At 41.8% G+C, this 24,329-nt stretch overlaps 1 protein-coding gene across 2 annotated transcripts, besides 2 other annotated features; it reads left to right on the top strand.

Moving 5' to 3' along the window:
* Window positions 15,681–16,608: an enhancer, noted in NCBI's record as "H3K27ac-H3K4me1 hESC enhancer chrX:119763290-119764217 (GRCh37/hg19 assembly coordinates)". NCBI's record gives its function as "activates a minimal SCP1, AML or CMV promoter by ChIP-STARR-seq in primed H9 embryonic stem cells {active_cell/tissue: H9 hESC(primed)}" and the evidence as "EXISTENCE:reporter gene assay evidence [ECO:0000049][PMID:30033119]".
* Window positions 15,752–16,021: a silencer, noted in NCBI's record as "silent region_20969". NCBI's record gives its function as "represses an Ori minimal core promoter by ATAC-STARR-seq in GM12878 lymphoblastoid cells {active_cell/tissue: GM12878}" and the evidence as "EXISTENCE:reporter gene assay evidence [ECO:0000049][PMID:35858748]".
* C1GALT1C1 (C1GALT1 specific chaperone 1) lies at window positions 15,989–20,369 on the top strand. Of its 2 annotated transcripts, NM_152692.5 has the most exons (3): window positions 15,989–16,126; window positions 18,616–18,787; window positions 18,872–20,369. In NM_152692.5, exon 3 carries the CDS (start codon window positions 18,877–18,879, stop codon window positions 19,831–19,833), a length of 957 nt encoding a protein of 318 aa, NP_689905.1. In that variant the 5' UTR covers window positions 15,989–16,126; window positions 18,616–18,787; window positions 18,872–18,876; the 3' UTR covers window positions 19,834–20,369. The 2 variants fall into 2 exon arrangements, with proteins under 2 accessions (NP_689905.1, NP_001011551.1); NM_001011551.3 differs by lacking the exon at window positions 18,616–18,787.

Raw genomic sequence — 24,329 nt, 5'->3', positions numbered from 1 at the left:
AGATGTTTGATATGCATAAAGTAAGGAGGGACTGGAAATGGGGAGGAATGTATGTATGCTATTACACTATTTAAGGCAAGAAGTGATGAAGGACTTAATAAAGTGGTGGCAGTTTGAAAAGAAAAAAAATGGATGCAAGATTCGCTGTGAAGGGAGCATTGACCTGACAGCAACTGACTGGATGTAGAAGTTAGGGAGAAGGAGAAAACCAAGAGAACTTTGCATGTTCACAATAAGTAACTGGAAAGATAAGAGGACATTAATGAGAAAACAATTGTCAGGAGATGGATGTAGGTGAGGTTGATCAATTTGATTTTGGATCTATTTAATATTTTTAAATCTTTATTATGCAAGTTTTCAAACAGAGAGAAAAATAGAGAGAATAGGATATTGAAGCCCTATATACCCATTACCTAGCTCAACAATTGTCACCTCAAGGTCAATTTTGTTTTATCAATCTTACCTATTCCTCCCCTTCCTGAATTAAACTTGGAACTTTTTTTTATTTTTTCAAATGTATGGTTTTTTTTGTTTTGTTTTGTTTTGTTTTGTTTTGTTTTATGAGATGGAGTCTTGCTCTTTCACCCAGGCTGGAGTGCAGTGGTGCGATCTCAGCTCACTGCAACCTCCGCCTTCCGGGTTCAAGCGATTCTCCTGCCTCAGCCTCCCGAGTTGCTGGGATTACAGGTGCACGCCACAACACCTGGCTAATTTTTTTTTTTTGAGATGAATCTCGCTCTGTTGCCCAGGCTGGAGTGCAGTGGCGCGATCTCGGCTCACTATAAGCTCCACCTACCAGGTTCATGCCATTCTCCTGCCTCAGCCTCCCGAGTAGCTGGGACCACAGACGCACACTGCCACGCCCGGCTAATTTTTTGTATTTTTAGTAGAGACAGGGTTTCACCGTGTTAGCCAGGATGGTCTTGATCTCCTGACCTCGTGATTCGCCCGCCTCGGCCTCCCAAAGTGCTGGGATTACAGGCGTGAGCCACCGTGCCCAGCCACACCTGGCTAATTTTTTGTATTTTTAGTAGAGACAGGGTTCCACCATGTTGGCCAGGCTGGTCTGGAACTCCTGACCTCGTGATCCACCGGCCTCAGTCTCCCAAAGTGCTGAGATTACAGGCGTGAGCCACAGCGTCTGGCCTCAAATTTATTTATTTTTTAAATTGACATGTAAAATTGTTTATATTTATCATGTACAACATGATGTTTTTGAAGTATATATACATTGTAGAATGGTTAAATCCAGCTAATTAACAACTACAGTATCTCACGGTTAATCATTTTTTCTTGCAGTGAAAGCACATAACTTCAACTCTCTTTACGTTTTTCAAGGATACAATATATCCTTATTAACTATAGTAACCTTGCTGTATCATAGATCTCGTGAACATATTCCTCCTATCTAACTGTAAATATGTATCCTTTGACCGACCACCCCCCAACCCTTCTCCCTGTTAATACCCCCAGCCCTGGCAACCACTATTCTACTCTACTTCTAAGGGATCCATTTGTCTTCCTGTGCCTGGATTATTTCACTTAATATAATGTCCTCCAGATTCATCCATACTGTCACAAATAACAGAATTGCCTTCTTTTTGGTGGCTGAATAGTATTCCATTGTGTATACATACTACACTTGACCCATTCATTCACTGTTGGACACTTAGATTGGTTCCATATCTTGGCTATTGTGAATAGTACTGAAATGGACATGGATGTTCAAATATCTCCTCAACATACTAATTTGATTTTTCTTGGATAAATACCCAGTAGTGGGATTGCTAGATCCTGTAGTAACTCTATTTTTAATTTCTTGAAGGACTTCCATACTGTTTTCTGAATTGAATTATTTTGAAGTAAATCCCAGACATCATATGATATAATCCACAAACAATTCACTATATATTTCTAATTACAATTACATACAATTATCTCAACTAAAAACATTTTTTTTGAGACACAGTGTTACTTTGATGCCCAGACTGGAGTGCAGTGGCAAAAACACAGCTCACTGCAGCCCCGACCTCCTAAGCTCAAGTGATCCTCTCGCTTCAGCCTATTGAGTAGCTGGGACCTCAGGTGCATGCTAATTTTTTAAATTTTCTGCAGAGACAGAGTCTTGCCATGTTGCCCAGGCTGGCCTCAAACTCCTAGGCTCAGGCAATCCTCCTGCCATGGCCTCTCAAAATGCTGAGATTACAGGCATGAGCCACCATGCTTGGCCACCTAAAAAATCAACATTAAGCCTGTAACGTAATCAAATATCCATTAAGCATTTAAATGTTCTCAATCATTTACTTGTTTGTTTACAGTTGATTGTTTGAAATCAGGATCCAAATAAGCAGATTCACTGAACGTTGGATTCTATCTGAAGCAGTCATATGGAGATATCAAGCAGGCAATTGAAATTTCAGGTCCAAAACTCAAGGAAGACATAGAGGCCAGAAATATGGATTTGGAAATCATCCTCCCAGAGGGAGTAGTTGAAGCTATTTGACTAGATGAAGCTATTGAGTAGATATCATAGGGGGAGAATATAGCAATTAAAATGACCCAAGGAAAGAAATTTAGAATGACTGTATTTGGGAAGAAGAGAAAGAGACACCAAGAATGGGGATAAGGAGGGAATAATTTGAAAGAAATGAGAAGTTGAAAGGTTGGATTGGGTGCAGTGGCTCACGCCGGTTAATTCCAGCACTTTGGGAGGCCATGGTGGGAGGATGGCTTGAGGCCAGGAGTTTGAGACCAGCCTGGACAACATAGTGTCTCTACCAAAAAAAAAAACTATAAACAAACAAGTAAATGATTGAGGAAGAAAAGAAAAGAAGAAAAGTCGAAAAAGAAAACAAGACATTGGTGTTGTAACTGAAACCAAGAAATGAAATCTTTGCAGGAGGGAAGACCTGTTTTCCATCTAAAGAGCCTTGGGCTAGGACTTACTCCCTGCTCTATTGTGTGACTTTCTGGATGTGTTGTGTGTAGCAAATTGCCTCCCTAAGGCCAAGATTCTTCAGATGTAAAAAATGAATAAAACCAGTCTTTCTGGTTAAAATGCAGCTATGAGGATCAAGTAAGAATGCATGTGAAGAAGGCCCTTGTTGGCTATAAAGCACTGGACAAATATGAGAGACTGTTCATTCGTTAATCTTTATTATTATTTTTATAAACAATGTGAAAATGTAATTTAACTGTTGAATGGAGGATTTGAATATTGGAAAATTCTGAATTTGAGAGGCCGTAATTCTTCAAGAATCTCATGAGATACAATAGTTGGCTTTTATTGAGCATCTACCATGTGCTAGGCACTGTTTTAAACCCCCTACATACCCTACCTTATTTAATCCTCACGAAAACTTTATGAGTAATAATAGGTACTATTATTAATCTTGTTTTACAGATGAGGAAGCTGCGGTTGAGAGAAGCGAACTGATTTGTCCCAGGTCACACAGCTAGGAAGTGGTAGGACCAAATCTCAAAACCAAGTCTTTCCCATCTCAGAGCAGGATCTCTTAATCACAACACTAAGTTTCCTCTTTAAAATATGCCTTGGAAAATTAGATCACCATATTGCAACTCTAGTGAATTACCAATCTAGATATTGAGCATCAAAGACAGCTATCATCACAAAGAGAGACAACCAGACATTATGTGTCTCCTGAGTGAAACAAGCACCACCCCCTATGAAACAGTTTTGCCTTAAAAAAAAAAAAAAAAAGACCATGCGCGGTGGCTCACGCCAGTAATCCCAGCACTTTGGGAGTCCTAGGCCGGTGGATCACTTGAGGTCAGGAGTTCAAGACCAGCCTGGCCAACATGGTGAAACCCCATCTCTACTAAAAATACAAAAAATTAGCCCAGCATGATGGCGGGCACCTGTAATCCCAGCTACTCAGGAGACTGAGGCAGGAGAATCATCACTTGAACCTGGGAGGCAGAGGTCGCAGTGAGCCAAGATCATGCCACTGCACTCCAGCCTGGGAGACAGAGCAAGACTCCATCTCAAAAAAAAAAAAAAAACCTGGGCCAAGCTCGGTGGCTCACGCCTGTAATCCCAGCACTTTGGAATGCTGAGGCAGGAGGATCCCTTGAGCCCAGGAGTTCGAGACCAGTCTGGGCAGTATAGTGAGACCAGGGAGACTTCGTCTCTACAAAAAATAAAAGTAAAAAAATAGGCGGGTGTGTTGGCACATACTTGTAGTTACAGCCACTTGGGAGGCTGAGGCGGGAGGATTGCTTGAGCCCAGGAATTTGAGGCTTCAGTGAGCCATGATTGTGCCACTGTACTCCAGCATGGGCAGCAAAGTGAGACCCTGTCTCAAAAAAATATTGATCTTGAATCTAGCATAGCCTTGAGATTAAGCTTAGTGTTGCCAGGTAAAATTCAGGATGCCCAGTGAAAAGTGAATTTCAAATAAACAACTATATATAGGCCGGGCGCAGTGGCTCACGCCTGTAATCCCAGCACTTTGGGAGGCCGAGGCGGGCAGATCACGAAGTCAGGAGATTGAGACCACCCTGGCTAGCATGGTGAAACCCCGTCTCTACTAAAAATACAAAAAATTAGCCGGGCATCGTGGTGGGCACCTGTAGTCCCAGCTACTCGGGAGGCTGAGGCAGGAGAATGGCATGAACCCGGGAGGCGGAGCTTGCAGTGAGCAGAGATGGCGCCACTGCACTCCAGCCTGGGCGACAGAGCGAGACTCCACCTAAAAAAAAAACACAACTATATATATACATATATATATAGTTTATTTATTTGTATATATTATATATATAAATTATATGTTTATATGTGAACTATATATGTGAAATTTATATAAATATATATTTATATAAATATATATATATATTCATGTAAGCACGTCCCATGCAATATTTAGTATGTCCCATACATTATATTTGGGACATGCTTATACTACAAAACCATTCATTGTTTATCTGAAATTAAATTTAACTGGGAGTCCTGCATTTATCTTTCTGAATCTGGCAACCCTACTTTACTTTTTATTTTATTTTTGTTTTTTTGAAATGGGGTCTCACTCTGTCGCCACAATGGAGTGCAGTGACGCGATCATAGGCTGAAGTTAGCTCACTGCAGCCTCCACCTCCTGGGCTCAGGCAACCCTCCCACCTCAGGCTCCCAAAGTGTTGGGATTCCAGGCGTGAGCCACCATCACACCCAGCCCAGCCCTACTTAAGATCCAACTACCTGTTTATGAGGAACACAAAAGACAGAGAAATATATTAAAGGAACCAGGATGAGGCAATCAGCACCAGACTAGGTAAAGGTACAAGAAAATAAGGCTGGGTGCAGTGGCTCATGACTGTAATCCCAGCACTTTGGGATGCCAAGGCAGGAAGATCACTTCAAGCCAGGAGTTCAAGAACCACTCTGGGCAACAAAGTGCATTTTTACAAAAAATTAAAAAAAAAACATCTGGGTGCAGTGGCATGAGCCTGTAGTCCCAGTTACTTGGGATGCTGAGGCAGGAGAATCACTTGAGCCCAGGAGTTTGAAGCTGCAGTGAGCTATGATTGCACCACTGCACTCCCGACTGGGTGACAGAGTGAAACCCTGTCTCTAAAACAAACAAAAAAGACAAACAACCAGATTTCTTCAATAAATAAATATCAAGGGGAGAAAGAGAGAGAAGAAACCTATAGACAACAGAGAACTAAGAGACACATAAACAATCACAATGTGAAGACTATTTGGATTCTGATTCAGACTATTAAAAAATCACATTTGTGATATTGGTAATTTGAACACAGACTGGATGTTTGATCATATTAAGGAATTTTTTAGTTGTTCTAGTGGTATTGTGGGTTTTTCTTAAGAACTCCTTATGTCTTATAGAGATATACAGAAATGTTTGTGGATGAAATTATATAAATTTTTTTTTTTGAGACCGAATCTCGCTGTCGCCCAGGCTAGAGTGCAGTGGCGCGATCTCGGCTCACTGCAGGCTCCGCCCCCCGGGGTTCATGCCATTCTCCTGCCTCAGCCTCCCGAGTAGCTGGGACTACAGGCGCCCGCCACCATGCCCGGATAATTTTTTGTATTTTTAGTAGAGATGGGGTTTCACTGTGTTAGCCAGGATGGTCTCGATCCCCTGACCTCGTGATCCGCCCGCCTCGGCCTCCCAAAGTGCTGGGATTACAGGCGTGAGCCACCGCGCCCGGCGAAATTATATAAAATTATATAATGTCCAGGAGACACTTTTGAATAATCTAGAAAGGAATGAAATACGGGTACAGGTATAACTAGACTGGCTTTGAGTTGATGATGTTAAATCTACATAAAAAGTGATTTCATTATAGTTTTTTTTCTACTTTTGTATATGTTTGAAATTACCCATAATAAAAAAGTTTAAATAATGATTAACACAATGCCGGATGTATTGCAAACACTTAATATATGTTTGCTGGAGGGTGAATGGGTTTGTTAATTTAAAAAAAAGAAAGCTCTGGTTGGGCGCTGTGGCTCACGCTTGTAATCCTAGCACTTTGGGAGGCCGAGGAGGGTGGATCACTTGAGGTCAGGAGTTTGAGACCAGCCTGGCCAATATGGTGAAACCCTGTCTCTACTCAAAATACAAAAAAATTAGCCAGGCGTGGTAGTGTGCACCTGTAATCCCAGCTACTTGGGAGGCTGAGGTTCAAGAATCGCTTGAATCCAGGAGGTGGAGGTTGCAGTGAGCTGAGATGGCGCCACTGCACTCCAGACTGGGCAACAGAGTGAGACTCTGACTCAAGAAAAAAAAAAAACCCTCAGATGGCCATCAAATAAAAAAAATTTTTGAAATGAAATTACAAGCATGAATATGCCTGAACACACAAATGAGATTCATTTAAAGATTACACCATACACAAATGGAAACAATACATTTGTTCAGACAAGAGAGTTTGTTTATTGAACATGAACAGTTGAGAAACTCTGGGCAGAAGAGATACATATATTATAGGCACTTTATTAAGGTAATCACAGAAAACATTTTTAACCCTTCAAAAAGATGTTATGCGGAAAATTCACTGTAGATGTCCTTCAATATTTTTTATTCCAGCGAACTCTTGTGGAAAGCTGTCTTAATTTCCCAAAGGCCTTTGGGCAGATTTGAGTGCTCACGTGCAAGTGAATCACTAATTACTAGAAATTAATGACCTCTCATGCTGAATAATGCATGCATTTGATAGAAGAGCCTTACCCAAAATGCAGTGTCGTCAGTTTTTAATGCATTCTTGCCTTGCCTGCTGTGTACATGAATGCAACCAAATTCAAAGCAACTCTCCCACACAAGGTGTAGCTTACTGTGTTTAAGGAAGTGTTTAGTATAGGTTAGTGAAATAAGCTCTCTATTTTATGCTTAATATTCCATTATATGGATGTACCATAATGAACTCAAACATTCCCTTATTAATGGCTATTTCCCACTTTTGCTATTATAAACAAGAATATCCAGTTTCAATTTTCTGCATACGGCTAGCCAGTTATCCCAGCACCATTTATTGAATAGGGAGTCCTTTCCCCATTGCTTTTTTTTTTTAACTTTGTCAAAAATCAGATGGCTGTAGGTGTGAAGCATTATTTCTGAGCTCTCTATTCTATTTCATTTGTCTATGTGCCTGTTTTTGTACCAGTACCATGCTGTTTTGGTCACTGTAGGCCTGTAGTATCGTTTGAAGTCAGGTAACTTGGTGCCTGCAGCTTTGTTCTTTTGCTTAGAATTGCCTTGGCTATTCAGGCTCTCTTTTGGTTCCATATGCATTTTTAAATTGTTTTTTCTAATTATCTGAAGAATGTCACTGGTAGTTTGATAGGAATGACATTGAATCTGTAAATTTCTTTGGGCAGTATGGCCATTTTAACATATTGACTCTTCCTATCTATGAGCATGGAATGTTTTTCCATTTGTTTGTGTCATCTCTGATGTCTTTGAGCAGTGTTTTGTAGTTCTCTTTGTAGAGTTCTTTCACCTCCCTGGTTGCTGTATTCCTAGGTATTTCATTCTTTTGTGGCTATTGTGAATGAGACTGTGTTCCTGATTTGGCTCTCAATTGGATGTTGTTGGCATATAGGAATACTACCGATTTTTGTACATTGATTTTGTATCCTGAAACTCTGCTGAAGTTATCAGATCAAGGAGCTTTTGGGCAGAGACTATGGGGTTTCCTAGATGTAGAATCATATCATCCACAAACAGGGACAGTTTGACTTCCTCTCTTCCTATTTGGATGTCATTTATTTCTTTCTCTTGCCTGATTGCCCTGCCCAGGACTTCCAATACTATGTTGAATAGGAGCGATGAAAGAAGGCATCCTTGTCTTGTGCCAGTTTTCAAGGGCGAATGCTTCCAGCTTCTGCCCATTCAGTATTATGTTGGCTGTGGGGCTGTCACATATGGCTCTTATTATTTTGAAGTATGTTCCTCTTCCTTACACCATACACAAAAATCAACTCAATGTAATCCCAGCACTGTGGGAGACCAAGGCAGGCAGATCACAATGTCAGGAGTCTGAGGCCAGCCTGACCAACATGGTGAAACCCCGTCTCTACTAAAAATACAAAAATCAGCCGGGCATGCTGGTGCATGCCTGTAATCCCAGCTACTCAGGAGGCTGAGGCAGGAGAATCGCTTGAACCCGGGAGGCGGAGGTTGCAGTGAGCCAAGATTGCACCACTGCACTCCAGCCTGGGCGACGGAGCGAGACTCCGTCTCAAAAAAATAAAAATAAAAAATAAAAAAATAAACTCCAGATAAATTAAAGACTTAAATGTAAAACCTAAAACTATAAAAACCCTGAAAGATAACCTAGAAAATACTAAATGGCATAGGCCCTGGCAAAGATTTCATGACAAAGATGCCAAAAGCAATTGCAACAAAAACAAAAATTGACAAATGGGACCTAATTATCCAAAGAGCTTCTGCACAGCAAAAGAAACTCTCAACAGAGTAAACAGACAACCTACAAAATGGGAGAAAATATTTGCAAACTATGTATCCAACAAAGGTCTAATATCCAGAATCTATAAGGAACTTAAATGAATGTACAAGCAAAAAACAGCACCATTAAAAAGTGGGCAAAGGACAATGATATTGTTTGGCTTTGTGTCTCCACCCAAATCTCATCTCGAATTGTAATCCCCACGTGTCCAGGGAGAGACCCAGTGAAAGGTGAATGGATCATGAGGACGGTTTCTCCCAAGCTGCTCTCATGATAGTGAGGGACTTCTCACTAGAGCTGATTGTTTTAAGTGTAGCACTTCCTCACTCTTCCTCTCTCTCTCTCCTGCCACCATGAGGAGACATGCCTTGCTTCCCCTTCACCTTCCACTATGATTGTACGTTTCCTGAGGCTTCTCTAGCCATGCAGAACTGTGAGTCAGTTCCGGCACAGTGGCTCAAGCCTGTAACCCCAGCACTTTGGGAGGCCGAGGTGGGTGGATCACCTGACGTCAGGGGTTCAAGACCATCTGGGCCAACATGGTGAAACCCTGTCTCTACTAAAAATACAAAAATTAGCTGGGTGTGGTTGCATGCGGCTGTAGTCCAAGCTACTCGGGAGGCTGAGGTGGGAGAATTGCTTGAACCTGGCAGGCAGATGTTGCAGTGAGCCGAGATTGTGCCACTGCACTGCAGCCTGGGCAAAAGAGTGAGACTGTCTCAAAAAAAAAAAAAAAGAAGAAGGAAAAGAATAAGTGTGAGTCAATTAAACCTCTTTCCTTTATAAATTATCCAGTCTCAGGTAGTATCTTTATAGCAGTGTGAAAACAGACTAATACAGACATGAACAGGCACTTCTCAAAAGAAGACATACATGTGGCCAACAAATATATGAAAAAATGCTCATCATCACTAATCTTTAGAGAAATGTAGATCGCAACCACAGTGGGATACCATCTTGTGCCAGTCAGAATGGCTATTATTAAAAAGTCAAAAATAGCAGATGCTGGTAAGGTTGTGGAGAAAAGGTAATGTTTATACACTTCTGGTGAAAATGTAATTAGTTCAGCAATTGTGGAAAGCAGTGTGGTGATTCCACAAAGGGCTTAAAACAGAATTATCATTTGACATAGCCATCCCATTATTGAGAATATACCCAAAGGAATATAAGTCATTCTACCATAAAGACATATGCATGCATATGTTTATTGCAGCACTGTTCACAATACCAAAAACATAGTATCAACCTAAATGCCCATCAATGGTAGACTGGCTAAAGAAAATGTGGCATGTATGTACCATGGAATACTATGCAGCCATAAAAAAGAATGAGACCATGTCCTTTGCAGCAACATGGATGGAGCTGAAGTCATTCTCATAAGCAAACTAACATAGGAACAAAGAAAAAAATACCACATGTTCTGTTTTTTATTTTTTGAGACAGAGTCTCGCTCTGTCACCCAGGCTGGAGTGCAGTGGTGCGATCTCGGCTCACTGCAACCTCTGCCTCCCAGGCTCAAGTGATTCTCTTGCCTCAGCCTCCCGAGTAGCTGGGACTACAGTTGTGTGCCACCATGCCTGGCTAATTTTTTTTATTTTTAGTAGAGATGGGGTTTCACCATGTTGGCCAGGTTGGTCTCAAACTCCTGACCTCAGGCAATCTGCCTGCCTTGGCCTCCCAAAGTGCTGGGATTACAGGCGTGAGCCACTGCGCCATGCCTTTTTTTTTTCTTTTTTTGAGACAGAGTTTTGCTCTTGTCGCCCAGGCTGGAATGCAATGGTGTGATCTTGGCTCACTGCAACCTCTGCCTCCCAGGTTCAAGCAATTCTCCTGCTTCAGCCTCCCGGGTAGCTGTGATTACAGGTGTGTGCCACCACACCCAGCTAATTTTGTATTTTTAGTAGAGACGGGGTTTCACCATGTTGGTCAGGCTGGTTTCGAACTCTTGACCTCAGGTGATCTGCCCGCTTTGGCCTCCCAAAGTGCTGGGATTACAGGCGTGAGCCACCACACCCGCACTCTCATTTATAAGTGAGAGTTAAACAATGAGAACACATGACACAAAGAGGGGAACAACAGACACCAGAGATTACTTGAGCGTGGAGGGTGGGAGAAGGAGAAGATTAAAAAACTAACTATTGGGAACTATGCTTATTACCTGGGTGACAAAATAATTTGTATGCCAAACCCCCAAGACATGCAGTTTACCTATATAACAAACCTGCACATTACCCCTTAACCTAAAATGAAAGTTAAAAAAAAAAAAAAAACTGCTGGCTTGACACAGTGGCATACGCCTGTAATCTCAGCACTTTGTGAGTCCGAGGCTGGAGAATTACTTGAGGCCAGAGCTCAAGACCAGCCTGGGCAACACAGCAAGCCCCTGTCTCTACAAAACATTATCCAGGGTGGTGGTGCCTGCCTGTAGACCCCATATTTGGAAGGCTGAGGCAGGAGGATTGCTTGAGCCTAGGAGTTGGAGGCTGTAGTGAGCCATGATTGCACCACTACACTCCAGCCTGGGTGTCAGAGTGAGACCCTGTCTCTAAACAAAAACAAAAAACAAAAACAAAAACAAAAACAGAAAAACAATAATGCATTTGCCCCTATTTCTGTGGGAGAGATCACTAGAATGGGTTTGCTGGGCCAAAAAGTATGAACATCTTAATTTTAATAGATACTAATTGCACATGTTTTTTAAATTAAGGCTGAGATATGGAATGTTGTTTTAAAAAAAACGCCATTACTGGCTGGGCGTGGTGGTTCACGCCTGTAATCTCAGCACTTTGGGAGGCCAAGGCAGGTGGATCACCTGAGGTTGAGAGTTGGAGACCAGCCTGACCAATGTAGTGAAACCCTGTTTCTACTAAAAATACAAAAATTAGCCAGGCGTGGTGGCATGCGCCTGTAGTCCCAGCTGCTCGAGAGGCTGAGACAGGAGAATTACTTGAACCTGGGAGATGGAGGTTACAGTGAGCCAAGATCACATCACTGCACTCCAGCCTGAGTGACAGAGTGAGACTCTGTCTCAAAAAAAAAAAAAAGCCATAAGTCAATCATCTCACTAACTTTATTTAAAATGCTAAGTATATGTAAGTTATTTGTCAAGTAAAGAACTGGGTTCTTAGACAATTTCTTATTAACAGAGCTTTTGGTGTTGAAAATCCCATGGTTTATTCTGTCTCAGAGCATCTTATGTCAATTTTGTGTGTGTGTGTGTGAGACGGAGTCTCGCTCTGTCACCCAAGCTGCAGTGCAATGGCATGATCTCGGCTCACTACAATCTCCGCTTCCCAGTTTCAAGCGATTCTCCTGCCTCAGCCTTCCAAGTAGCTGGGATTACAGGCGTGCGCCACCACGCCTGGCTAATTTTTTGTATTTTTAGTAGAGACGGGGTTTCACCGTGTTAGCCAGGATGGTCTCGATCTCCTGACCTCAGGTGATCCGCCTGCCTCGGCCTCCCAAAGTGCTGGGATTACAGGTGTGAGCCACCATGCCTGGTCTCTTGTGTCATTTTTTAAATAATATTTTTTAAAATTACCAACCACTATAAGAAGCGCTGCTCTTATATTATTAATACTTCCAGTTTGGTATACAGTACTTTTCTATACTAAAAGAAGAATCATTTTATTTTTTTCCAGCTTTATTGAGGTATGTTTGACAAATAAATGTATACAATTAAAGTGCACAATGTGATGATTTGCTATATGTATACACTGTGAAATGATTACCACAATCAAGCTAATGAACATATTCATCATCTCAAATAGGTGCCCTTATTTTCTAGGAGAAACATTTTATATTGCCTCTTCATCACAGTCTGAATTCTGAGTGTCATTTCTGTCCTTCCTGGTCCCTTTTTGCGAGGACAGAGTGGTTCTCTGCATTCTTTAAAAGATATTTTTATTGGTATCTTTTCTTTTTTTTCTTTTTGTCCCTGTAATTTTAAGGTCCTTTTATTTGCTGGTCTTCAAATTCAAAATAGGTGCTTGTTTATAACCAGTGAAACAATGCAATACAAGGATGTATAAAGACAAAGCTAATCATCCCCACCTCAACCTCCTGATGTAATCAATATTAAGAGCTTGCTGAGTATTCTTCCATAACTCTCTTTGTTCATACGAACAGATCAAACCTATGTGCACGTTTGTTTCCACCAAAACATAATCATATAATATGCAGTATTCTGCAATTTGTTTCACTTAACTATATAGGTATATATACATACATACATATATATTTTATATAATATGTGAAATAGACTATATTACTTAACAAAATATAATGAAAATATTCCACGGTCTTAAATTCTTTTCCAGTTCTAAAATTCATTTTTTCTTTTCCAGCGGGCCCACTGTCAGAAATAAAATTCATTTTGGTATTCCTTTAGAAAACATACCACCATTATAATTATTTGTAATAAATTGTTTAATGTCTTTCTTCCCCACTTGACTGACAGCTCCATGAAGTCAGGGTACTTATTTTGCTCACCACTGTATCTCCAGATTTTAAGATAGTGTTGCCAGGATAGTAACTACCTACAATATATTTGTTCATTGTTTCAGAGTTCCCTGAAACCTTCAGTCTACTTAAACTAGGTCACTGACAACACTCAAATACATGTGTGTCTTTAGGAACTCAGGCCCGAGTAAGTCACCACTCAATTTTATCTTAATGGAACCTAGTAACAATACACTTTAAATAATTGTAAAAATTTGGGCTTTTTAGCAAAAAGCCTTCTGCCACAAAAATGAATTTTTTTTTTTTTTTTGAGATGGAGTCTTGCTCACTCTCCCAGGCTGGAGTGCAGTGGCACGATCTCGGCTCACTGCAACCTCCACCTCCCAGGTTCAAGCAATTCTTCTGCCTCAGCCTCCCGAGTAGCTGGGATTACAAGCATGAGCCACCACGCCCGACTAATTTTTATTTTATTTTATTTTATTTTATTTTATTTTATTTTATTTTTTTTTTTTGAGATGGAGTCTCGTTCTGTCGCCCAGGCTGGAGTGCAGTGGCGCTATCTGGGCTCACTGCAGGCTCTGCCCCGGGGTTCACGCCATTCTCCTGCCTCAGCCTCCCGAGTAGCTGGGACTACAGGCGCCCGCCACCTCGCCCGGCTAATTTTTTGTATTTTTAGTAGAGACGGGGTTTCACTGTGTTAGCCAGGATGGTCTCGATCTCCTGACCTCGTGATCCGCCCGCCTCGGAGTCTCGCTCTTTCGCCCAGGCCAGACTGCAGTGGCGCTATCTCGGCTCACTGCAAGCTCCGCCTCCCGGGTTCACGGCATTCTCCTGCCTCAGCCTCCCGAGTAGCTGGGACTACAGGCGCATGCCACCGCGCCCGGCTAATTTTTTGTATTTTTAGTAGAGACAGGGTTTCACCGTGTTAGCCAGGATGGTCTTGATCTCCTGACCTCAGGTGATCCACCTGCCTCGGCCTCCCACAGTTTTGGGATTACAGGCGTGAGCCACTGCGCCTGGCCAAAAATGAATTTTAAAAGACAGATCGGTGGCTCACACCTGTAATCCCAGCACTGTGGAAGGCCGAGGCGGGTGGAACACCTGAGGTCAGGAGTTCGAGACCAGCCTGGCCAACACGGCGAAACCCCGTCTCTACTAAAAAAAAAAATAATAATAACCAGACGTGGTGGCGCACACCTGTAATCCTAGCCACTAGGGAGGCTGAGGCAGGAGAATCACTTGAACCCGGGAGGCAGAGGCTGCAGTGAACCGAGATCCCGCCATTGCACTCCAGCCTGGGCAAAAAGAACGAAACTCGGTCTCAAAAAAAAAAAAAAAAAAAAGAGACACATCAAATATTTCGTGGAAAGAGAGCTCTGCACTCTTAATTAGAAGACCTGGGGGCCGTGCGCAGTGGCTCAAGCCTGTAATCCCAGCACTTTGGGAGGCCGAGGCGGGTGGATCACCTGAGGTCAGGAATTCAAGACCAGCCTGGCCAACCCCGTCTCTACTAATAATACAAAAATTAGCCGGGCGTGGTGGCGGGCGTCTGTAATCCCAGCTGCTAGGGAGGCTGAGGTAGAAGAATCGCTTGAACCCGGGAGGCAGAGGTTGCAGTGAGCCGAGATCGTGCCATTGCACTCCAGCCTGGGCAACAAGAGTGAAACTCCGTCTCAAAAAAAAAAAAAAAAGAGACCTGGATTCCAGTCCCACCTCTGCCATTAACTTGCTGTGTGGACTTTTGAAATTTCCTTATCCTTTTTAGGCCTGGTTCCTCAGCTGTAGTTCTAATATTCATTAATTCCACTAATATTTACTGTCCACTGCGTGCTGGCACTGTGGTTAAGTACTAGAAATACTGGGGTGAATAATAACAGCCAGTACTTTTTAGTAAATGCTTACTCTAGGCTTGAAATTTTGCTAAGGGAGTCATATGCACTATCTCATCTAATTTTCTATGAAATAGGCACTACTGTGACATTTTCTGTACTTTACAAATGAGGGAACTGAGGCACAGCGAGGTGAAATAACTTTCCTGGGATATCAAAAGGTGTGGTGAAGACAGGATTGGATTCCAGGCAGTGGGGCTTCAGATCTCATTCCAGTAATAATAGGAAACCGTTGGTGTCATAATTACGTGACTATTTCAGTGGCTTGCGTTTTGGTCTCAGCCCAGGAGTACTGGGGGGGTGGGCAATATGAGGGTTCAAGGACGCAGGGGTACATCAGAGAAACCATCAAGAGGTCTGATAAAAAGCGACACCGGGAGCAAGAATCTCTCGCTCTCGCAATTTCCATGCCAGGAAGGTGAAATGGGAGGTGTCAGCGAGTCGTACGCACGGCCTCTTCTCTGGACGCCCGTTGGGTAAAGGAGAGCGTCCGGGTCACGCAGGCCTATAGCAAGTCTCTGAACTCGGCAGGGGGCGGGGAGAAAGGGCACGCAGTGTGCGCGCAGCGGGCGCGCCGGCCCTTCCGACGCCTGCGCGGGCGGGCAAACGGACGGCTCCGCCCAGCCGCCGGCTCCTTTACCCCGCCCCACTACCCCCGCCTTCGCGGCGCTCGTTTCCTGGCGCTCCCCACCTTTAGCGAGACCAACGAGAGAACACCGCCTGCAGCTAGAACAGCCTGGTCAGGAGCGTAACGGAGTGGTGCGCCAACGTGAGAGGAAACCCGTGCGCGGCTGCGCTTTCCTGTCCCCAAGCCGTTCTAGACGCGGGTGAGTGGCGGGGCCTCGACCCCCACCCCAAGCGCACCCTGACTCCCCTCCCTCTCTTGGGGGAGGCCTGGGCCCCAGCCCTCTCCCAGCATGCTCCACGCGGGATGCTTGGGCAGGTGCAGCGGGAGGATTGTCAGCACAGGAGACCGAGAGTCTTCTTCCTGGGGGCGCTCTCTTGGTCCCTCAGAGGGATATCGAGGTTACCATGTCCTCCCTCTCACTTCTCTTCCCTATTTCGTCTTCGTTTTCCGTACTTCACCCCAACTACCTTCACCCAAAAAGGTTCATCTAAAAACCATTGGGGTAGTTTCTGTTTCATTTGTGCTCGTGTGCAGTTTTGTTTCCTTCTGCACAAAGTATCCTATCATATGCATCCCTAGTGTTATATTTTTTGCCTCTGTGATGGGGAAAAAATCTCCTTAGAATAATTTTTGCAAATTATTTTATTTAAAATGTGTAGACTTACTGAGTTTTGATCACTATTTTTGCAGCCAGGAGTAGGATCACCATCAGGAAGAATTCTGACACATATGCCATAATTGAGCAAAGAAACATGTGAATTATGTATTGGCCAGAAATAATGAAAACTGCGTGACATGAAATACAAAAATCCTATATAAATTAATCTTAGAGTGCACCTGACAATTCTTTTTCTTTTTTCTTTCTTTCTTTCTTTTTTTTTTTTGAAACAGAGTCTCGCTCTTGTTGCCCAGGCCGGAGTGCTGTGGTGCGATCTTGGCTCACTGCCTGCAACCTCCGCCTCCCGGGTTCAAGCAATTCTCCTGCCTCAGCCTCCTGAGTAGCTGGGATTACAGTCATATGCCACCATGCCCGGCTAATTTTTGTATTTTTAGTCGAGACAGGGTCTCACCATGTTGGCCAGGCTGGTCTTGAACTCCCTACCTCAGGTGATCCACCTGCCTCGGCCTCCCAAAGTGCTGGGATTACAGGCGTGAGCCACCGCACACAGCCGACAATTCTAATATTATGCCGAGCTTGTTTTCTGTCACTTCTCTTCTTGGAACTGTGTTTATTGACCAAGTTCTGTGAGTGACACAGGAAAGTCTTCCTGCCTCTTGCCCCACCCACCGCTCAGAAATTACATCTGCCAAGCTATTCCACACCTTGTCTTTCTGGTAGAAGTCAAAATTCCATTTCCTCTAGCAGAAAACCACAGGAGTGGTTTCCTTGTAGCAATATGGTGCTGTTGGGTGCAAAATATCAGTTATGGTCAACAGATCCCACTTTTTTCCCATTTGTATGAAAACAAGGATATTCAGTAACCCATTTATTAAACTCTAATGTGGTAGAAGCACTATGGCAATTATTCTTCTGTAATGGAAAAAAACCATTAAACTGATATTGAGAAATGTGGTTTCTAGTCCACTTATACCACTGTCTAACTGTGTGACTGAGTCAGTTATTTAACCTCTGTGGACTTCCATTTCCTCTCTGTAAAATGAGAGAAGTGACTGACATTGGGTAGTTTTCTAAGGCTCCTTTCAACCATAAGAGAAAACTGGGAAGTCTAAGTAGCTCAATAGATTGCTTTTTTCTGAAGATGGAGGGAAGATTGGAAAATTCAGCCTTTACTAGAATAAATGGTTAACATACAATTTTTTTCAACAAGTTTATTTAATGTCAGCTTTTAATTTCTTTTATTTATTTATTTTTTCTGAGACAGAGTCTCACTCTGATGCCCTGGCTGGAGTGCCGTGGTGAGATCACAGCTCACTACAGCCTCCGCTTCCCAAGTTCAAGAGACTCTTGTGCCTCAGCCTCCCGAGTAGCTGGGATTACAGGCACCCACCACCACGTCTGGCTAATTTTTTGGATTTTGGGTAGAGACAAGGTTTCACCATGTTGCCCAGGCTGGTCTCGAACTCCTGAACTCAAGGGATCCACCCACCTCAGCCTCCCAAAGTGCTGAGATAACAGCCATGAGCCACTGCACCTGCCTCTTAATTTCTAATTGAAATAAAAGTGTAAATTTTTCCATTTTTACTTCCCCAAAGAAGAAGAAAATTCCTTTTGAGGAAATGAAAATGTTTATTAATGGGCCCCAGATATATCTATCAATATTCCTTTTTGATCCAAAAGATGTAACTTTTTATTATGGGCTTCTATTACATCAATAGTTGGGATACTGTATTGGAAACCATTTAGTTTTAGGAACAAAAGGGTAAATATTAACCTATATGGTGTTATTCTCAAGAAACTTGGTTTAGATTTACTCAAAACACTTAAGGACAGCAGCCATCAGTTAAAGAAAGCACTATGTTGAGAACAGAAATGTCAGCACAATACCATTGGTGATTTGCCATTTATAGGTGGTTTTATCTGTTCAACCCAAGGTTTTGGTGTAAAAGTTCACTATATTTTTAGAGGTATTTAAATAATGCAAGCTTGTGATGTGAAATTCTTTAAAGAGAATGGTGGATGGATAACCTCTGTAACACTGGTTTCAAGGGTTTATTAAATCCCCATAGATGAAGTGCAAAACAAACTTCTCCATAGAGGAGTTGTTGCAAAGTTCCAGTTTATACCAAACAGTAATCAGATTCCATTGGAAGCTAAAGATTTTGAGAGCCTTTTGTACTATATGCAACTAACTTGATTTCAAGCTTGGGAACCTTTTAAAAAAAACATTAAAAGCAAAATGTAAGTATATAAGGAATACCAAATCAAATTTATAGACTAATCTTTTTCTATTAAGTATTTTAAGAGTCTTTTTCTTCTTTATAGGAAAAATGCTTTCTGAAAGCAGCTCCTTTTTGAAGGGTGTGATGCTTGGAAGCATTTTCTGTGCTTTGATCACTATGCTAGGACACATTAGGATTGGTCATGGAAATAGAATGCACCACCATGAGCATCATCACCTACAAGCTCCTAACAAAGAAGATATCTTGAAAATTTCAGAGGATGAGCGCATGGAGCTCAGTAAGAGCTTTCGAGTATACTGTATTATCCTTGTAAAACCCAAAGATGTGAGTCTTTGGGCTGCAGTAAAGGAGACTTGGACCAAACACTGTGACAAAGCAGAGTTCTTCAGTTCTGAAAATGTTAAAGTGTTTGAGTCAATTAATATGGACACAAATGACATGTGGTTAATGATGAGAAAAGCTTACAAATACGCCTTTGATAAGTATAGAGACCAATACAACTGGTTCTTCCTTGCACGCCCCACTACGTTTGCTATCATTGAAAACCTAAAGTATTTTTTGTTAAAAAAGGATCCATCACAGCCTTTCTATCTAGGCCACACTATAAAATCTGGAGACCTTGAATATGTGGGTATGGAAGGAGGAATTGTCTTAAGTGTAGAATCAATGAAAAGACTTAACAGCCTTCTCAATATCCCAGAAAAGTGTCCTGAACAGGGAGGGATGATTTGGAAGATATCTGAAGATAAACAGCTAGCAGTTTGCCTGAAATATGCTGGAGTATTTGCAGAAAATGCAGAAGATGCTGATGGAAAAGATGTATTTAATACCAAATCTGTTGGGCTTTCTATTAAAGAGGCAATGACTTATCACCCCAACCAGGTAGTAGAAGGCTGTTGTTCAGATATGGCTGTTACTTTTAATGGACTGACTCCAAATCAGATGCATGTGATGATGTATGGGGTATACCGCCTTAGGGCATTTGGGCATATTTTCAATGATGCATTGGTTTTCTTACCTCCAAATGGTTCTGACAATGACTGAGAAGTGGTAGAAAAGCGTGAATATGATCTTTGTATAGGACGTGTGTTGTCATTATTTGTAGTAGTAACTACATATCCAATACAGCTGTATGTTTCTTTTTCTTTTCTAATTTGGTGGCACTGGTATAACCACACATTAAAGTCAGTAGTACATTTTTAAATGAGGGTGGTTTTTTTCTTTAAAACACATGAACATTGTAAATGTGTTGGAAAGAAGTGTTTTAAGAATAATAATTTTGCAAATAAACTATTAATAAATATTATATGTGATAAATTCTAAATTATGAACATTAGAAATCTGTGGGGCACATATTTTTGCTGATTGGTTAAAAAATTTTAACAGGTCTTTAGCGTTCTAAGATATGCAAATGATATCTCTAGTTGTGAATTTGTGATTAAAGTAAAACTTTTAGCTGTGTGTTCCCTTTACTTCTAATACTGATTTATGTTCTAAGCCTCCCCAAGTTCCAATGGATTTGCCTTCTCAAAATGTACAACTAAGCAACTAAAGAAAATTAAAGTGAAAGTTGAAAAATATCCCTGAGAAAAAAAACTGAAAATTACTTACAAAATTGAGTAATTTTCCTGGAAGCGAATTTAGTGTCATTCCTCAGAGCATACGCAATTTCAGTGTAACTGTCTGTACTTCAGCCTGCAGATACTGACATTGGATTGGTGCCTATGAAGAATGTCATGTCATTTAATTGTGTTGTTTCTCAGTTAATCAAGCTCCCAGCTGCAATTTGGATAAAAATGTAGTCCTGCTGGGTCAATGAGTTCTGTGGAAATTTGAAGAACTTGTTTTGGCCATCTGGCAGTTTCACTTACCTGAGTTGAATCTGTTCTGTATTTTGTTTTGTTTTGTTTTGTTTTTTTGACACAGAGTTTTGCTCTGTCGCCCAGACTGGAGTGCAATGGCACAATCTCGGCTCACTGCAACCTCTGCCTCCTGGTTTCAAGCAGTTCCCTTGCCTCAGCCTTCCAAGTAGCTGGGATTACAGGTGCCCACCACCACACCTGGCTAATTTTTTGTATTTTTAGTAGAGATGGGGTTTTGCCATGTTGGCCAGGCTGGTCTCGAACTCCTGACCTCAGGTGATCACCCGCCTCGGCCTCCCAAAGTTCTGAGATTACAGGCATGAGTCCCTGCGCCCAGCCTGTTCTGGATTTTGTTTCCTTGTACAAGTTCAGGGAATTTTCCCATGTTCACAGCTGTACCATATCTGTTTTCAGTGTGGAGGTCCTAACCTATCTACTTTGCATTACCATACCTTTTCCCAAATTTCAATGGCTACTCAGAAACTTAATCCAGTGGTAAATGCAATAGCTCCTGTACTGATAAATGTGTGAAATACTTAGAGCTGACTTGTTCTGCAATCTGGCCAGCACATGCTGTGAGTCCGCATAGAGTGTTAGAGCATGACATTTTAGAGATCAATATTTCTTGTAACTGGCCTCATGATGGTAATGGTCTCCCACAGCTTTAGCAAACCAGAAAGAAAATTTCCTTAAGATGGCCTTGGGCTTGAAGTTATTGATCCTCAGGGTAGTGTGTAAAACTTTGCTTTATTTCTGATTATTCTCATTGAGGGTTTTGGTTAAGATGAAGCGTTATTAGTTTTGAAGAATAACAAAACCCCTTTATGAAGCCCCCTAATATGTGGTCTCAGATGCAATTACTACAATCAAATCATGTTCAATGTGAGTACAGTAATAAACAGTATCTCTCAGAGTGTGACACAGCTTATCTGTCACCTTGCCCCCAACACCAGTATATTTAAAATTTTTCTATTGCATTTATCATCTTCACTTACATTAGTACATCAGAGTATCATCATAAACATGTCAGAATGCATTGCATTGTGTGTTTTGCTAATGAGTACTAAGGTAACATTGCCTTTTAAGCCAAATTGATGCTCTTGATTGTATCTTTATACATATTTTTTTTTTTTGAGACGGAGTTTCGCTCTTGTTGCCCAGGTTGGAGTGCAATGGCGTGATCTCGGCTCATCCCAACCTCCACCTCCCGGGTTCAAGCAATTCTCCTGCCTCAGCCTCCCGAGTAGCTGGGATTACAGGTATGTGCCACCACGCCCAGCTAATTTTGTATTTTTAGTAGAGACAGGGTTTCTCCACGTTGATCAGGCTGTTCTCAAGCTCCTGGCCTCAGGTGATCCGCCCGCCTCGGCCTCCCAAAGTACTGGGATTACAGGCGTGAGTCACTGCGCCCGGCCGATACTGAGTATTTTTTTAACGAAATGTTAGGTGTCTCAAATAATATGCTGTCTCTCTGAACTTACTTGCAGCCAGTCTTGCAGATAAAATCTGAATCAATAACAGAAAATAGTACTACTGAGGTTGTGGTTACAGATTTGATCACCATATATGTCTGTTAGCTTTACATAGAAAAATAATATATTCAGTAACCGAAAACAATAACCCTAACCCCACTCATGATGAGAGAGTTGGAAAAAATGGAGGTCTGATGGAAATTGATCGGGATTGTGAATATACTCTACATACGGCTAGTGGCTGTCATATTGGACAGCACAGGTCTAAGCAATTCTAAGTGTAAGATCCCACTCCTGGCTGAGATGTGAATAAGAGAAAACTTGAAGTTTCCTCTAAAAGTTGTATTTGTTTGTCTGGTTGTCTCAAATGCAATGGAAACCACAGCATGACTTTTAGCAGGCCCCAGACCATTGCCTTGTGTGAGTTCAATCACTGAATCTTCCTTTTCAAAAGTAAAACATTGGATCTGGAGCAAAATATAGATTTAGACCCCTTGGCTATTTTCTGGGGCGGTGGGCTGGCAGGGGAGTAAGCTAAAAGGTTGCTTGTGTATCAAATCTGATTCATAATGCCCAGATTTTTCTATAATGCATTTAAACAAACTCAGTTATTGGGTGTTCTTAAAGCAGGGCATACCTGTAATAGAAAAGTTGCTGAAAATATAGTCTAATGATGATGTACCGCTAATTTCCCTTTCATTTGTTAAGAATATTGTGTTCTGGCTGGGCACAGTGGCTCATGCCTGTAATCCCAGCACTTTGGGAGGCTGAGGCTGGCAGATCACCTGAGGTCAGGAATTCAAGACCAGCCTGGCCAACATGGTGAAACCCTGTGTCTACTAAAAATAGAAAAACTAGCTGGGCGTGGTGGCGGGCACCTGTAATCCCAGCTACTCGGGAGGCTGAGGCAGAAGAATTGCTTGAACCTGGGAGGTGGAGGTTGCAGTGAGCCAAAATCGTGCCATTGCACTGCAGCCTGGGGGACAAGAGCGAGACTCCATCTCAAAAAAAAAAAAAACAATATTGTGTTCCTTTTGGTATGGGCTGACTTTGATGCACTCAGTACTTGCCTGAGTGGTTATGTGAGAAGCATATGTTTATAGAAGTTAGCTTTCTTTTGGCATACAAAGACATTCAGCAATGTTTATCAACTCCCCCCCAAAAAAATATTGCCCCAAATTTTAAAAATAACTATACTTGACAGTTTTTACAAGTTTGAAAAAAATGACAAAAAATAACTATAGTCAATAACTCTAATATAACCAAAAATAGAATACTATAAAGCATTTAAAGGGTAATGGGAAAATGACTTGTTTGGAAAGTATAAAATGATGACATAGTGTATCTCTAGGGTCTCTACCATAATAAAAAAAATCCAGCTTTACTAGTGTGGCATCCATACACTATAATTTTCTTTGTATATATTGGGTATCTATGAGGTCAACAGTAGGCAGTAGGCCTGGTACTTTGTGGAAAGCAGAAAGAGCCCAAACTCATAATTCATCATAGTCAAATAATCATTTCACATAAGCTTTGCATGAGCAATAAGACAAACTGTAATTTAATAATGTAGTACTAGAATATAGTGGTCAGCCCTTTTGTCTTAAAATTCCTGGATTTGATCAATGCTTTTTTTTTTTTTTTTTTTTGCCCAGGCTGGAGTGCAGTGGCACGGTCTTGGCTCACCGCAACCTCTGCCTCCCGAGTTCAAGCGTTTCTCCTGCCTCAGCCTCCCAAATAGCTGGGATTACAGGCATACACCACCACACTCGGCTAATTTTTGTATTTTTAGTAGAGACGGGATTTCACCATGTTGGCCAGGCTGGTCTCAAACTCCTGACCTCAAGTAATCCACCCGTCTTGGCCTCCCAAAGTGCTGGGAATACAGGCATGAGCCACTGCGCCCTGCCTGATAAATGCTATTTCTTCTAACCCACATAGTTCCCATTTCTTTAGGTTTCTACTGATTACATGCAAGAATAGCCACATTGGTTATGCCATTGCTTTGGAAATTTGGCAAAAACCCTAGCAGAAAGAGCAGGACTTAAAAATAAGACTCAGGTTTTAGAGAGATAAATAGGATAACTGCCTTTAATGAGTGACAGACTTCCATTAGAAAAAAAAAATGCTTTGATCTAGTGAGTGAATGATACAGACATCCACCTAGTTACCCAAAGTGTTGAATTAATGGAAATATTCTAATAGT

Source organism: Homo sapiens, chromosome X, assembly GCF_000001405.40.
Source record: "Homo sapiens chromosome X, GRCh38.p14 Primary Assembly".
Classification (NCBI taxonomy): domain Eukaryota; kingdom Metazoa; phylum Chordata; class Mammalia; order Primates; family Hominidae; genus Homo; species Homo sapiens.
The sequence above is the reverse complement of the archived record's forward strand: the minus strand, read 5'-3'. Positions and strand labels throughout refer to the sequence as shown.